This window comes from Homo sapiens, chromosome 8 (genome assembly GCF_000001405.40).
Source record: "Homo sapiens chromosome 8, GRCh38.p14 Primary Assembly".
NCBI lineage: Eukaryota > Metazoa > Chordata > Mammalia > Primates > Hominidae > Homo > Homo sapiens.
The window spans coordinates 110,250,547-110,268,068 of NC_000008.11; the positions used below are offsets into that span (position 1 = coordinate 110,250,547).

The following is a 17,522-nucleotide window of genomic DNA, read 5'->3' on the forward strand; positions in this document are numbered from 1 at the left end:
ATGTATTTTCCAGAAACGTTAAAGTCCTGCCTAAAATGTTCATGTTATGGTTATTTTTGACAGATTTTGGATGAATTCTTCTTAGTGATCAAAACTGTGAAAATGTTTATCTTCTTTTCTAAACTCAAGAATTGAAAATGCCCAGAAGATGGTACTCAGGAAAGTCTGCACAGCCTTTCACAAATAGAACTTACCTCTAGAGCAAATGAAAATACAAAAGCAGAAATCAAGAAGATAGTGTTTATCTCAGGGAATAAAAGCCACTTGTAAAGCCCCAGAGATTGCTGCTGCCGCCAGACATTTAGTTTCATAGGAAGCAAGTGAAAATGAATTTATTAACTACATGGGAAACTGAGTTACTTATATTCACGCACAGGTAAAAAGCATAGTACATTTAATCTAAAACAATCAGATCTCATATAATCTGATCCTTTTTCAAAATGTATGGCATTTAACCTTGTTTAATAGTAATTAATTTTCCTGTCTTCTTTTATACCACACTCCCTTCAATATGCCTGTTGACAAACCTTCAGATTATTTGAACTTTTTATTTCCATTCTATGATCTGGACTGAGAATTAAAAGAGAATGGGAGGTACATGAGGGTGCATGGACTTCATTCTTTCTTTTTATTTTATAGTATGGTGTTAATTATTGCTAGCATTGATGATTCCCAAGGAGAACATTTCTACTTACTGGACATATATGGTTCCTCTCACAGCCGTTTAATCAAATGCATGGTATATTAGCTGTGGGCTAATGAGCTCTTCTTGCTGAAAAGTAGGTAATCCTCACGATTCCCTCACTTCTGGGTAACATGGCTTCCACCAGGTCAGTCACATGTAATTCAAGTCTTGGGTATTAGAGTAACTGCCATTTCAGATTGGAGAACTCACAAAGGAATTCTTAATAATACTATGTACGAATCAATTGAGATCATTTCTGTTCCAGCAAAGAAATTTTTTTTTTTTTACAATAGTAAGACTGAAAATGTCATAGAGATATCAGGCTTCAGGCATAGTTTAATGAGGGCTCTGATTCAATTTTTTTTCTTTCCTTTTTTATGCATAGGCTACATTGACTTCCTCCATGGCATCCAAGTGTAATGAGCAGTTCCGGACTTCACATCCATACAACACAGCATTCACATACATAAAGGGATTCAGCACTGGATAAAGTTTGCTCACTGACATTTTTAAACTAATCATGGCAGCAAGAAGAATAAAAAAAAAGAACTCAACAGCTGGGATGCCCTTTAAGCCGAGAGTAGTTTTGGATCCTTCTTAACCATAAAGCTACTATGCACTTGGTGAAAGGGGGATAAAATCACAATACCAACAACAAAATTACTTGTATTTTAATGGAATATTTCCAAGCCTTGAACAATTCTGGGTGCTTAATAGTGCATAGATTTTTCTTGAAATGAAAATTATGTAAATATAAGGCCTGGGGTTTTCTATTTGCTCATGGATTTTCAAAGTTCACTAATGAAATATCCCAGCAAGATTTACTTGTTTTACACCACAGACTCGTATTTTTATATAATAGAGTATTATATACCTGTGCAATATAAGAGATCATATTACCTGTGCGTGTGTATGATGCTACTGACCTACAAAATACAGAATTATGCTTTCCATAACAACAACCCTCACAAAAGCATTATAACATAGGTTATAAATATAACTTGTCATTAGGTAACTGCGTTTTATTTTCCTTTGAGTATATTAAAATAAATCACATTAAATTATATGCTTTATTTCATAATATTGAAGTAAATGAAATATTCTGATATTATTTATTATATAGGACTTAAATGTATTTACTAAACAAGTATCTGCTGAGTAATTAACCATTGTCAGGCAGTACATAAAGTGACAAAAGGAGAAAACGAATAAGACAAGATTCCTCCTCACAGCTTTCCCACAAGGTACCACCCACCAACAAGTCATGAAATTAAATGCATGACAACTGCTCAGAATAATAAATATTAAATTCAGATATACCGAGGTGTTATGGACACTCAGTTACTGATTTAGAAATTAGTCATCACTTAGTTGCTCAGAGGTGACTTGAAACGTAAAGGATGAATGGGGGTTTGTCAGATGGACAAAGGAAAAAGGAGATTCACATAGAGAATATTGCTAAGAAGGTAACTAAGAGATATGACAGAACTAGGTGGGTGTGTAGAAGAACAATATAATTTGTCATGCAGACTGGGATGCATTTGGGAGAAAAAGAGAAGACTGATAATTAAAATTGTATTATGCTTTGGAATATTATTGACCCACAAATTGAGTTTTATATGTTGATAGACATAATAATTCTAATAAAATCTAATTCAAAAGTAATTTTTCTAAAAATTAAGAAATAATGTGCATATTAAAGAAAAACTTAAAATCCTCTTTTTAATTTGATTATCTGAACATTAAATTCAATAGAAGCAGAATAATTAGTGTTTCTTTGTATACTTAAGAGTTTCATGGTTGTTCCAGAATCTAGAAAATATTCTTATTAGGATATTTTTGGTAAGTTATTATTATTTTTACTATTATTATTTTTTATTATACTATAAGTTCTGGAATACATGTGCAGAATGTGCAGGTTTGTTACATAGGTATACACATGCCATGGTGGTTTGCTGCACTCATCAACCCATCATCTACATTAGGTATTTCTCCTAATGCTATCCCTCCCCTAGACCCCCACCCCCTGACAGGTCCCTATGTGTGATGTTCTCCTCCCTGTGTCCATGTGTTCTTATTGTTCAACTTCCACCTATGAGTGAGAACATGTGGTGTTTGGTTTTCTGTTCCTGTGTTAGTTTGCTGAGAATGATGGTTTCCAGCTTCATCCATGTCCCTGCAGAGGACATGAACTCATCCTTTTTTTATGGCTGCATAGTATTCCATGGTGTATATGTGCCACATTTTCTTAATCAAGTCTGTCATTGATGGACATTTGGGTTGTTTCCAAGTCTTTGCGATTGTGAATAGTGCCACAATAAACATACATGTGCATGTGTCTTTATAGTAGAATGATTTATAATCCTTTGGGTATATACTCAGTAATGGGATTGCTGGGTCAAATGGTATTTCTGGGTCTAGATCCTTGATGAATCACCACACTGTCTTCCACAATGGTTGAACTAACTAACACTCCCACCAACAGTGTAAAAGTGTTCCTATTTCTCCACATCCTCTCCAGCATCTGTTGTTTCCTGACTTTTTAATGATTGCTATTCCAACTGGCATGAGATGGTATCTCATTGTGGTTTTGATTTACATCTGTCTAATGAACAGTGATGATGAGCTTTTCTTCATATGTTTGTTGGCTGCATAAATGTCTTCTTTTGAGAAGTGTCTGTTCATCTGCTTCCCCTACTTCTTGATGGGGTTGTTTTTGCCTTATAAATTTAAGTTCCTTGTATTTTTTGGATATTAGCTCTTTGTCAGATGGAAGATTGAAAAAATTTTCTCCCATTCTGTAGGTTGCCTGTTCACTCTGATGATAGTTTCTTTTGCTGTGAAGAAGCTCTTTAGTTTAATTAGATCCCATTTGTCAATTTTGGCTTTTGTTGCCGTTGCTTTTGGTGTTTTAGTCATGAAGTTTTGCCCATCCCTATGTCCCTAATGGTATTGCCTAGGTTTTCTTCTAGGGTTTTTATGGTTTTATGTCTTAGGTTGAAGTCTTGAGTTAATTTTTGTATAAGATGTATGGAAGGGATCCAGTTTCAGTTTTCTGCATATGGCTAGACAGTTTTACCAACACCATTTATTAAACAGGGAATCCTTTCCCCATCCCTTGTTTTCGTCAGGTTTGTCAAGATCAGATGGTTGTAGATGTGTGGTGTTATTTCTGAGGCCTCTCTTCTGTTCCATTGGTTTATATATCTGTTTTGGTACCAGTACCATGCTGTTTTGATTACTGTAGCCTTATAGTATAGTTTGAAGTCAGGTAGCGTGATGCTTCCAGCTTTGTTCTTTTTGCTTAGGATTTTTCTGCCTATGTAGGCTCTTTTTTGGTTGCAAATGAAATTTAAAGTAGTTTTTTTCTAATTCTGAGAGACTAGGATTGCCACCCCTGCTTTTTTTATTTCTTTCCATTTCCTTGGTAAATCTTCTCCATCCCTTTATTTTGAGCCTATATGTGTCTTTGCATGTGAGATGGGTCTCCTGAATACAGCACACCAATGGGTCTCGACTCTTTATCCAATTTGCCAGTCTGTGTATTTTAATTGGGGCATTTAGCCCATTTACATTTAAGGTTAATATTTTTATGTGTGAATTTGATCCTAACATTATGATGCTAGATGGTTATTTTGTCCGTTAGTTTATGCAGTTTCTTCACAGTGTCTATGGTCTTTACAATTTGGTATGTTTTTGCAGTGGCTGGTACTGGTTTTTCCTTTCCATATTTAGTGCTTCCTTCAAGAGCTCTTGTAAGGCAGGCCTGGTGGTAACAAAATCTCTCATTGTTTGCTTGTCTATAAAGGATTTTATTTCTCTGCTTATAAAGCTTAGTTTGGCTGGATATGAAATTCTGGATTGAAAACTTTTTTCCTTAAGAATGTTGAATATTGGCCCCCACTCTTTTCTGGCTTGTAGGGTTTCTGCAGAGAGATCCACTGTTAGTCTGATGGGCTTCCCTTTGTGGGTAACCCTACCTTTCTCTCTGGCTGCCCTTAACATTTTTTTCCTTCATTTCAACCTTGGTGAATCTGACAATTATGTGTCTTGGGGTTGCTCTTCTCAATGGGTGCCTTTATGGTGTTCTCTGTATTTCCTGAATTTGAATGTTGGCCTGCCTTGCTAGGTTTGGGAAGTTCTCCTGGATAATATCCTGAAGAGTGTTTTCCAACTTGGTTCCATTCTCCCTGTCTCTTTCAGGTACACCAATCAAATGTAGCTTTGGTATTTTCACATAGTTTCATATTTCTTGAAGGCTTTGTTCGTTCTTTTTCATTCTTTTTTCTCTAATCTTGTTTTCATGCTTTAGTTCATTAAGTTGATCTTCAATCTCTGATATCCTTTCTTCCACTTGATCGATTCAGCTATTGATACTTGTATATGCTTCACAAAGTTCGTGTGCTGTGTTTTTCAGCTCCATCAGGCCATTTAGGTTATTTTCTAAACTGCTTATTCTAGTTAGCAATTCCTCTAACCTCTTATCAAGGTTCTTAGCTTCCTTGCATTGAGTTAGAGCATGCTCCTTTAGCTCAGTGGAGTTTGTTATTACCCAGCTTCTGAAGCCTACTTCTGCCAATTTGTCAAACTCACTCTCTGTCCAGTTTTGTTCCCTTGTTGGCGAGGAGTTGTGGTCCTTTGGAGGTGAGGAGGTGTTCTGGTTTTTGGAATTTTCAGCCTTTTTGCTCTGTTTTTTTTCTCATCTTCGTGGATTTATCTACCTTGGTCTTTGATGGTGAGCTTCGGATAGGGTTTTTCTGTGGATGTCCTTTTTGTTGATATTGATGCTATTCCTTTCTGTTTGTTAGTTTTCCTTCTAATAATCAGACCCCTCTACTGCAGGTCTGCTGGAGATTGCTGGAGGTCCACTCCAGATCCTGTTTGCCTGGGTATCACCAGCGGAGCCTGCAGAACAGCAAAGATGGTGGCCTGTTCCTTCCTCTGGAAGATTCTTCCCAGAGAGGCACCCGCCAGATGCCAGCTGGAGCTCTCCTGTATGACGTGTCTGTCGAACCCTGCTGGGAAGTGTCTCCCAGTCAGGAGGCATGGGGGTCAGGGACCCACTTGAGAAGGCAGAATGTCTCTTAGCAGAGCTTGAGCACTGTGCTGGGAGATCTGCTGCTCTCTTTAGAGCTGGCAGGCAGGAATGTTTAAGTCTGCTGAAGCTGTGGCCACAGCTGCCCCTTCCCCAAGGTGCTCTGTCCCAATTACTGGGGAACCTGCCCCGATATTCACATAGGTTCTTTTCTATTTTCCTTAAGCGTCAGCCGACTTGAGAAATAAAGGGACAGAGTACAAAAGAGAGAAATTTTAAAGCTGGGCATCTGGGGGAGACATCATGTGTCAGTAGGTTCCGTGATGCCCCACAAGCCGCAAAAACCAGCAAGTTTTTATTAGGGATTTTCAAAAGGGGAGGGAGTGTGCGAATAGGTGTGGCACAGACATCAAGTACTTTACAAGGTAATAGAATATCACAAGGCAAGTGGAGGCAGGGTGAGATCACAGGACCACAGGACCGAGGCAAAATTAAAATTGCTAATGAAGTTTTGGGCACCATTGTCATTGATAACATCTTATCAGGAGACAGGGTTTTGAGATCAACAGGTCTGACCAAAATTTATTAGGTGGGAATTTCCTCTTCCTAATAAGCCTGGGAGCGCTGTGGGAGACTGGGGTCTATTTCACCCCTACAGCCTCGACCATGAGAGACGGCCACGCCCAGGGGGGGCCAGTTCAGAGACCCACCCCCAGGCGTGCATTCTCTTTCTCAGGGATGTTCCTTGCTGAGAAAAGGAATTCAGCGATATTTCTCCCATTTGCTTTTGAAAGAAGAGAAATATGGCTCTGTTCCGCCCGGCTCACCAGAGTGAGAGTTTAAGGTTATCTCTCTTATTCCCTGAACAATTGCTGTTATCCTGTTCTTTTTTCAAGGTGCCCAGATTTCATATTGCTCAAACACACATGCTGTACAATTTGTGCAGTTAACGCAATTATCACTTAGTCCTGAGGCGACATACATCCTCCTCAGCTGACAGGATTAAGAGATTAAAGTAAAGACAGGCATAGGAAATCACAAGGGTATTGATTGGGGAAGTGATAAGTGTCCATGAAATCTTCACAATTTATGTTTAGAGATTGCAGTAAAGGCAGGCATAAGAAATTATAAAAATATTAATTTGGGGAACTAATAAATGTCCACAAAATCTTCACAATCCACGTTCTTCTGCCATGGCTTCAGCCGGTCCCTCCATTTGGCGTCCCTGACTTCCCGCAACACCAATGAGATAGGAGTTTTATCTGTAAGCCCCTGACTGGGGCTGCTGCCTTTCTTTCAGAGATGTCCTGCCCAGAGAGGAGGAATCTAGAGAGGCAGTCTGGCTACAGCGGTTTTGCTGAGCTGCAGTAGGCTCTGCCCAGTTCAAACTTCCTGGCAGTTTTGTTTACACTGAGGGGAAAACCGCCTTCTCAAGCCTCAGTAATGGTGGACGCCCCTCCCCCAACCAAGCTGGAGCATCCCAGGTCGACTTCAGACTGCTGTGCTGGCAGCGAGAATTTCAAGCCAGTGGATCTTAGCTTGCTGGACTTCATGGGGGTGGGATCCGCTCAGCAAGACCACTTGGCTCCCTGGCTTCAGTCCCCTTTCCAGGGGAGTGAATGGTTCTGCCTCACTGGCATTACAGGCACCACTGGGATATGGAAAATCAAAACAAAACGAAACAAAACAAAAAAACTCCTGCAGCTAGCTCAGTGTCTGCCTAAACAGCTGCCTAGTTTTATGCTTGAAACCCAAGTCCCTGGTGGTGTAGGCACCAGAGGGAATTTCCTGGCCTGCGAGTTGTGAGGACCATGAGAAAAGCGTAGTATCTGGGCCAGAATGCACCGTTCCCCACGACACAGTCCCTCATGGCTTCCCTTGGCTAGAGGAGGGAGTTCCCCCATGCCTCATGATTCCCAGGTGAGGCAATGCCCCACCCTGCTTCTGCTTGCCCTCAATAGGCTACACCCACTGTCTAACCAGTACCAATGAGACGAGCTGGGTACCTCAGTTGGAAATGCAGAAATCATCTGCATTCTGTGTTGATTTTGCTGTGAGCTGCAGATTGGAGCTGTTCCTATTTGGCCATCTTGCCAGCCACTCCATGCTGTCCTAATTGATTACATTTTAAAGATAATACATTTGAAACTGTTGGTAATAGCAGTTGATTTTTCACTGTAGGCAATGAATGATATAGTTTATTTTTTTAAATATCATACACATATATTTACTTTTTGGATGTACGTTTGTAAGAATTTTAACACATGTATAGATTCATGTAACAACTCATATAATTAGGGTCAGATTAGGTCTTTCACCTCAAAAATGCTCTGTACTTGTCCTTTGTAGTCACACTCTCCCTCCACTCCTAACCCCCAACAACCACTGTTCTGTGTTCTCTCACTGCAGTTTTGTCATTTTTTGAGAAACTTGCTCTTTCTAATGAGCCTAAATTCATAATTCATAAATTAATAATGAAATGTATAAATATTTTACACCAACTGTTTTCACTTACTCTCTTTTTGACTACATTAAGAGTAACATCCTATGATGAATATCTTTTTAACACAAAGGCCTTAAATTAATCTGTCTCTATTTATAATTCTTTCAATGATTCTAGAAATGTACATGTTGCAACAGTTGCAGATTTTCACAATGCAATTTTATTTCAAATAAGAATATGAATTTATCTAATAGAAAATACGGCCTCAGCAATAGGTTGTTTCTATAATTTGAGATATCTCAAAGCACAATCATAACTATCAGAATTAAATCTTGTATTCTAATTGAGCTTCCTAATTTAACTTACCAGTTACCCCCATCATTGATAGATATAAATTTCAAAGTTATAACTTCGAATTGAATTGAATTCCTTTCAAAAATTGTTATTTGATTAAAGCTTAAACAATTGAAATTTTTTATGTGCCAATTTAAGAATATTTTGGTTACAGCTTTTAACTGATTTTGAACAAAATGCAACCAAAACTTAGAAGACTGACATTAAAAAATCTAATACTCATTAAAAACCTCTATATTAATTTTTATATCCACTCTTCAAAACCTCAGACATTTCTGAAGTCCTAACAATGCAAAGAAACAAAACATACATTGCCATGCTGACTTTCTTTTTCTAAAAAACAATTCCATATGTTAGTTTCATCACTGCACTTTTGTATTACTGTTACTTGATGTATTTATTTTAAAAACTAAAAGTTACAATCTGTTTTTCCATTATATTTACTTCTGAAGCAATTCCAAGTACATTTTACTGCATTGAAAGGTTACTGTACCAAAAGATTCAAAATATTACCAAGAATAAGATAAATACCTATTTATCTTATTTTACAAAAATTACAAAATTACATAATTTTACACCATGAAATTAATGATAAAACCATTTTGTTAAGAACATTCTCAATCTTTTTGATGGCAGGACTTCTCAGCCTCTATTTTTAACACAGATTTCATGTGTACATAAAGCTGTGATTTTCTTATTCTTGACATTGATTGGTAATGGGGTGGCTTTGTGCATCACAGAGTCCATGGCAGGGATCAACATACAACTTCATGGAACACAAATTGGTCTGGTCAGACATTTTCCCCACTACTACCCTATGTGTGAAAGAGTTAGTTGCTACTAGATACTCATGCCTTGTGCACTCAATCCTTTGCCGCCAACCTCTGTATTGTGCCATTATGCAACAGTAGAAAGGCAAAAGAGGAAGTCAAATTGTCTGTTTGCAGATGACATGAATGTGTATCTAGAAGACCCCATAGTCTCAGCCCAAAATCTCCTTAAGCTGATAAGCAACTTCAGCAAAGTCTCAGGATACAAAATCAATATGCAAAAATCAAAAGCATTCTTATACACCAATAACAGACAAACAGAGAGCCAAATCATGAGTGAACTCCCATTCACAATGGTTCCAAAGAGAGTAAAATACCTAGGAATCCAACTTGCAATGGATGTGAAGGACCTCTTCAAGGAGAACTACAAACCACTGCTGAACGAAATAAAAGAGGACACAAACAAATGGAAGAACATCCCATGCTCATGGATAGGAAGAATCAACATTGTGAAAATGGCCATACTGCCCAAGATAATTTATAGATTCAATGCCATCCCCATCAAGCTACCAATGACTTTCTTCACAGAATTGGAAAAAACTAAAGTTCATATGGAACCAAAAAAGAGCCTGCATTGCCAAGTCAATCCTAAGCCAAAAGAACAAAGCTGGAGGCATCATGCTACCTGACTTCAAACTATACTACAAGGCTACAGTAACCAAAACAGCATGGTACTGGTACCAAAACAGAGATATAGACCAATGGAACAGAACAGAGACCTCAGAAATAATACCACACATCTACAACTATCTGATCTTTGACAAACCTGAGCAAAACAAGCAATGGGGAAAGGATTCCCTATTTAACAAATGGTGCTGGGAAAACTGGCTAGCCATATGTAGAAAGCTGAAACTGGATCCCTTCCTTGCACCTTACACAAAAATTAATTCAAGATGGATTAAAGACTTAAATATTAGACCTAAAACCATAAAAACCCTAGAAGAAAACCTAGGCAATACCATTCAGGACATAGGCATGGGCAAGGACTTCATGTCTAAAACACCAAAAGCAATGGCAACAAAAGCCAAAATTGACAAATGGGATCTAATTAAACTAAAGAGCTTCTGTACAGCAAAAGAAACTATCATCAGAGTGAACAGGAAACCTACAGAATGGGAGAAAAATTTTGCAATCTGCTCTTCTGACAAAGGGCTAATATCCAGAATCTACAAAGAACTCAAACAAATTTACAAGAAAAAAACAACCCCACCAACAAGTGGATGAAGGATATGAACAGACACTTCTCAAAAGAAGACATTTATGCAGCCAAAAGACACATGAAAAAATGCTCCTCATCACTGGCCATCAGAGAAATGCAAATCAAAACCACAATGAGATATCATCTCACACCAGTTAGAATGGCAATCATTAAAGAGTCAGGAAACAACAGGTGCTGGAGAGGTTATGGAGAAATAGGAATAGTTTTACACTGTTGGTGGGACTGTAAACTAGTTCAACCATTGTGGAAGACAGTGTGGCGATTCCTAAAGGATCTAGAACTAGAAATACCATTTGACCCAGCCATTGCATTACTGGGTATATACCCAAAGGAATATAAATCATGCTGCTATAAAGACACATATACACGTATGTTTATTGCGGCACTATTCACAATAGCAAAGACTTGGAACCAACCCAAATGTCCATCAGTGATAGACTGGATTAAGAAAATGTGGCACATATACACCATGGAATACTATGTAGGCATAAAAAAGGATGAGTTCATGTCCTTAATAGGGACATGGATGAAGCTGGAAACCATCATTCTCAGCAAACTATCACAAGGACAAAAAACCAAACACTGCATGTTCTCACTCATCGGTGGGAATTGAACAATGAGAACACTTGGACACAGGAAGGGGAATATCACACACCAGGGGGGCATGTTGTGGGGTGGAGGGAGCGGGGAGGGATAGCATTAGGAGATACACCTAATGTAAATGACGAGTTAATGGGTGCAGCACACAAACATGACACATGTATACATATGTAACAAACCTGCATGTTGTGCACATGTACCCTAGAAGTTAAAGTATAATAAAAATATATATGAAAAAAAAGAGAATAATGACAAGAAGAAAAAAAGAAAGGTATAGAATACTTCCCCATCCTGTTGCCTTTGGACTTTATTATTTGATTGAGACTGTCTTAAGCCAAGGTAAGATAAATAATTATAAGCTTTTACTTCCCCTCTTGCACTCTTGGATTCACATGAGAAGGCAGCTGACATCTTCTGATTCAAGGAGAATGCAGAGATATGTGGAGTAGAATTAATTCACCCTCAGGCCTGGAAAGTCCAGCCATTCTTCAGCTTGAAGCAGAGCTTCTCCCAGTGAGCTGCAGACCTCTGAGCAAGAAAAATAATTAATTATTGTAACTGAGATTCTGGGATGGTTTGTTACACAACAAAAGTTGACTAATACAGACCACAATATCCTCTTTAAAAATGTCTCCTTCTCCCTTCATTTTACAAATCAAATGTGCATTTTCCTTCCACTGAAACTTTATAACCTTCCTACTGCATTCATACATTAGGCCCTCCTAGCTAAATTCCCCATTATTATTTTAAAGTTACTCTCTGGAATATTTTTGCCTCTCTCACTACTTTATAAGTACTAAGTTATATAGTATTTGCAACATACACCTTCACTCTATTGGCTAGCTTAGTAGGCAAGTGCCTGAAGAGCATGAAGATAAAATGAATGCAAGTATAGATTCTAGAAGGAAAGATGTGGTTATAGTGTTCTATTCGCCTCTAGCCTGTTAAACCATATCTGTGGACCTAACTCTGAACACTATCTCCAAAAGAGTTTCAATTAACCAGATAAAAGAAGCCGTAACTTTAAGCGAAAACAAAATTCAAAGAAAAAAATCTACTAAATAAATAAGGCCTGTGCTGGGGTGCGTGTGTGTGTGTGTGTGTGTGTGTGTGTGTGTGTGTGTGAGAGAGAGAGAGAGAGAGAGAGGGAGAGAGAGAAGAGTTTTCTTAAGGAAACAGATACAACATTTTGTCTTTAAATATTTGAAGGATACTTCTGTGAATGGAGAATAAACTTGCTCTGTGGAATATAAGTAGTGAGAACAAGATCCAATACCTGGAAATTTCTTCTCTGGTTTGCAGAGATGATGCTGCCATTCGGAGTCGCTGGATATGGAATGGGCCACCTGAAGAACTATAAATGTGTTTTCACTGGAGACTGTCCTCAAAGATTATACCCACCTTTCATAAACATAATGTAAGAGATTCGTGCCTTGCATAAATGATAATAATATCAATTAATGTTAATGGAGTATTTAATTGCCACCACAACCAACCTTCAACCAACCTTCCTTCCATCCATCTTTCCTTCCTTCCTTCACTCCTTCCTTCTCTACTTCCTTCCTTCCTTCCTCCCTCCTACCCTCCCTCCTTCCTTTCTTCCATCTCTCCCTCCCAGCTGCTAGTAAAAAGGTATGGTCATCAACTGTGCACCAGGATAATGTTCAACACGGGAGTTGCAGTGGCAAACAGATGTGTTTTCTGACCTCATGGAGCATTCCTTTGAGTGGTAAAGACTGATAATAAAGTCAACAAATAATTAAGTATATATTATAATACGTTCAAAATATGAATAAAGTGCACATAGAGGGCATAGTTGATATATTTGAAAATTTGCCAGGGTTTTCCTATCTCTATGCTATTGTATATGTTTTTTACCAGTTTGGTCTTGAGGCCTGTCTCATGATAGTGGCCATAAGCTCTAGCCTTGCCTGAACAGAAATTCAGGGGACTTAGTCTTGGATGACTACATCAGATATTTCTTTATTCTGGCAGACTACCTAATGCCTAAGTGTCCAACCTGTGACAAGGTATCCCTCTGGAAACTTCTTTATACTAAGACACCCTTGTGACTTTTGTTCGACCTGTGTCCAGTTTATTCCTATCAAGATATCAACTCTATAGGAGGTCCTAACTGGGAAAGAGTTAAGTTTGGGTGGTTCATTCAGGTAAAACACAGAGTAGGCAACTCAACAAAACAATATAAAATAACAGAAACAGTTTATTATTTACAGGTCCCAGAAAGAGAGGGAAGCACACCCCCGAGGACCAAGGGGAAAAGGCGATTAGTCCAGGACATGCATGCCCAACCAGTGGGTGGGAAGTGAATGAGAGTGAGCCAGAGATCTGTGTGCTGAAGTCTTTAATACAATCCATGGCATTACTTAGGTGGGTTTCCTGCGGAGAGTTCTGATGGTGAGTTTAGAGCAAGCGGGGATGAGTTCCATGGAGTCCACCGTGACTGAGAGGCAGTCACTGTGGCGTATCTGAGCAGTGGATGAGGTGTGTGGGGTCAATAGATTATATCTAGGCTTTTCCATAGGGAGATGGTCACCGGGAGTTGGTTGTATAAAGTAGATATCTGGATTGGACACATTAAGAAACTAGATGGAGGTGGAAAACTGTAAACAAGGGTGACTATGCCCTCATCCTGATATGAAAAAATTAAACATATTCAAAATGGATGCCAAGGCAACATAAAATTATAATTTGCTGTAAATCCTAATTACAGATAAATACACTGAGCCTCAGACAGGTTAACATCCAACAGCTAATATGTGCCAGAGCTGGATTTCAAATTCAGGTCTATCCAATCCATGTTTGCATTTTCATTGCACTTCAGTGGGCGGTTGAAGTAAATCCCTAATAAGGCACTTTCAAACCCCAAGATTCATATGACATATGCTGTATTCACAAATATCAGTGAGTCAACAGTAAAGCTGCTTTCATAGCAACCATTTAATTGTTTTTATTAACATTAGAAATATTTTTCTAATTAAATACTGGTATCAAATTAAAATAAGATATGGTAAAGTATAGGCTATAAAGAATGGTGGAACCATTAGTCTAAAAATAGTAACCTACATTTTTTTAAATACATAATGCCATAAGATTTCCTGTGAACCCATTGAGAAGCTACATTTTCTGTGTATTCAAAATCCTGCCACAAAAGTTGGTATTTTCCCATAAATGTGAATAGACTGATAAGGAGGAGTTATTTTCTGAGATATTTGCTGCAAAATCATGTAGACTGTAAATTTGTCTGAAGAATAGACCTGAATATTCTTTGTTAATGTTCTTCCTAGGTATGACATTCAGTTAAATAATTACCAGGGATTTGACTGCAAGGTACCAAAAAGAGACAGATGTGTATATGAAACACATGCTGAGTTTGCACTCAGATAACCTGAGTTCAAGTCCCAGCTCTAAGCCTCAATTACCTTTTTTCTATCTGTAAAGTGGGCATAACATTGCTGATTTCACAGTGTTGAATGTTTAGGGTTGAGAAGAAGTGCTGTGCTACCCATAGAGAAATATATCTTCATGGCTGAATGAAGTCCAGTTTATTCCTACGAAGATATTGACTCTATAGGAGGTTCTAACTGGGAAAGAAGTTTGGGTGTTTCATTCAGGTAAAACACAGAGTAGACAACTGAACAAAACAACATAAAATAACAGAAACAGTTTATTATTTAAAGGTCTCAGAAAGAGAGGGAAGCACAATGAAGTGTGTAGGGTCAATAAGTTATATCTAGCTTTTAGCCATTATCCTCAGCAAACTAACACAGGAACAGAAAACCAAACACCACGTGTTCTCACTTATAAGTGGGAGTTGAACAATGAGAACACATGGACACAGGGAGGGGAACAATACATACTGGGGCCTGTTGGGGGAGTGAGGGGAGTGGGTAGAGCATCAGGAAAAATAGCTAATGTATGCTGGGCTTAATACCTAGGTGATAGGTTGATAGCAAACCACCATGACACATGTTTACCTATGTAACAAAACTGCACATACTGCACATGTACCCTGGAACTTCAAGTAAAATACATTTTTTAAAAAGATAACGTAAAGAAAGAAATATGCCTTGTTATAAAACCAAGCCTTAAGGTATACTGCATTTGTCTAGAATAATTTCAATAGTTTCTAAATGTTCAATTTTCTATATACAGTGAATATAAGCTTGTATGTTTCCCATTACACATAATGTTGAATCTCCCTTACCTCAACAGTTAAGAATTGTCTATTTATGGCTTATGGAATTGCCTCTGTCCTAATCTTTCTTGGAAACTTTTTCTTTTGCTGCCCTACTAATCTTCTGTGCCCCATGCTGTTTCTACCTGATATCCGTTGAATTAAAATGGATGCATCTTTGTTCCAGGGTTGAAATTACCTTTAGGGAGCCCTCTTTTTTCTATCTGCATGTTCTTAAATGATACCTCCTACATTCATGGATTTGTATTGCTCTGATTCTCGCTGTTTCTAATTTGGTTCTGACTAGAATTTTAGATCCGCTGCAACTTTAAGAATGTGTGTTCTCTTTTAATATATGCTCTGTGAAGTGCCTACCTGTAAAGCCAGAAGTAGCAGCCTTTTCTAGTAGGGAAGGGACACCTGGGTTGTTTTGGATTTGGTTGTAAGTGAATAACTTTCAGCTGGTCACAGCCTGAGAAAGCCTTCCCTGCAGTGTAGATGTCAATGACTTTAGGACACGTACTGTGCTGTGCTGCACACATTTCTCTAGTATGCTGCAGCCTCGGATGTGTTGTTTAACTCTTTCGTGTCCAGTATATGAAGGCTATGAAAATATTTTAAAATCTTCAAAATTCTCCTTATGGAAATGTTTTGTATTATTACTATCATTGTCATTACCATTGTGAGCTCTTGTGCTTTTCCTATATCACAGAGCAGGCGACTGTCTAGAGGAAAGGCTCTTCCCTCTCAAGTTACTGCCTAATCTTGAAATTAGTGGTACAAATGTATTATATATTTATTATTTTGCACTCAGATTCATTTAATAAAATATTATCGAACAACTATTATGTGCTAGGCATTCATGTTCTGAAAGGTACAGTCATTGGTATTAATTATACTATGTACATTTACAAAATACATTTAAAGGGACCATGGGGTATTATCATTGTCCTTTAATGGATAAATACTAATGAGTGTGTAAATACCTTATAGGTAGTAATTCTCAAAATCGCGCCTAGACCAGCATCATCAGCATCACCTAGGAACTTCCTGGAAATACCCTGCTAAAACAGCCTCACTTGGGAACTTCCTGGAAATGCCTTTCTAAATCAGAAACTCTGGGGGTGGTTCCCAGCAATGTGTGTTTTAAAAAAACCCTCCAGGTGATTCTGACGATGCTAGAGTTTGGAACCCAGTGTTTTACAGGATGTCAGTTATAGAGACGGTGGCAACGGGGTGGAAGTGGGGAGGTAGGAGAGTTGAATTTTGATAATCTTAGGAGAAAATAAGAAAATGGTATGCATTTCCACTATGGAAGGAAAAGACTTGGCCGGAACAATTCAGTAAAGGGTTGTGTAAAGACTGAATTTTACCACTTAAATAGAGGGTGTCCAGATGAACAGAGATATGAACAGTGAAAAGAAAGAATTAAAAAGCTACTGAAAACTTACTTCAGGTATGTCATTATTATACTCAGGGATGATTGACTCAGTAGTGAACATTGTTGACATTTGAGCCCCAGTCTGTCCTTGCAGACAACATTGCAGTGTCTGTGCTTATGGATCCTTAGAGCAGCACACGTTCTATAAATACTTTGGTGTCATACCGTCTTTTATTCTGCTGTAACTGGCATATCTTTCCAATTGGCTTTGTTCCTGAAATTTCTTATGTTGATAACTTGTCTCACTGAAGGTGTCATCTGCAGTAATTCACGTACCACAACTATAAAAAGGATGGGATAACATAACCACCAAGGAGAACTTTAGCTTTGTTGATAGAATTACTCTTTGTAGGTCTTCTGAAAGACATTCTGGTTTACTCATGTATGTGGGAATGTGTGTTTTAGTGTAATATACATAACTATGTACATGTGAGTGTATTTTTCAAGTGATCTGCTTAGTGAGAAATAGGCAATATAAATTTTATTTCATTACCTATGATGAAAATCTTTGACTATAAAAGGTTTCTTTATTCAAGTTGCTAAGAATGTTCCTGCTTTTAGTCAGTTCACGGCACTTGCATTGTCAGCATATACTATATAGAATTTCTCCTGTGAAATTCTCATTAACTTATATTAGTGTCCAAGCCATTAAGTTTGGATTCAGACTATAAAGGGAAAATAAACCAACCCTTTGCTTCATTGCTGATGATGTGTGTCATC

General features: G+C 38.1%; 1 annotated feature.

The window, feature by feature from the left end:
- Positions 6,994 to 7,495: an enhancer, noted in NCBI's record as "H3K27ac hESC enhancer chr8:111269769-111270270 (GRCh37/hg19 assembly coordinates)". NCBI's record gives its function as "activates a minimal SCP1, AML or CMV promoter by ChIP-STARR-seq in naive H9 embryonic stem cells {active_cell/tissue: H9 hESC(naive)}" and the evidence as "EXISTENCE:reporter gene assay evidence [ECO:0000049][PMID:30033119]".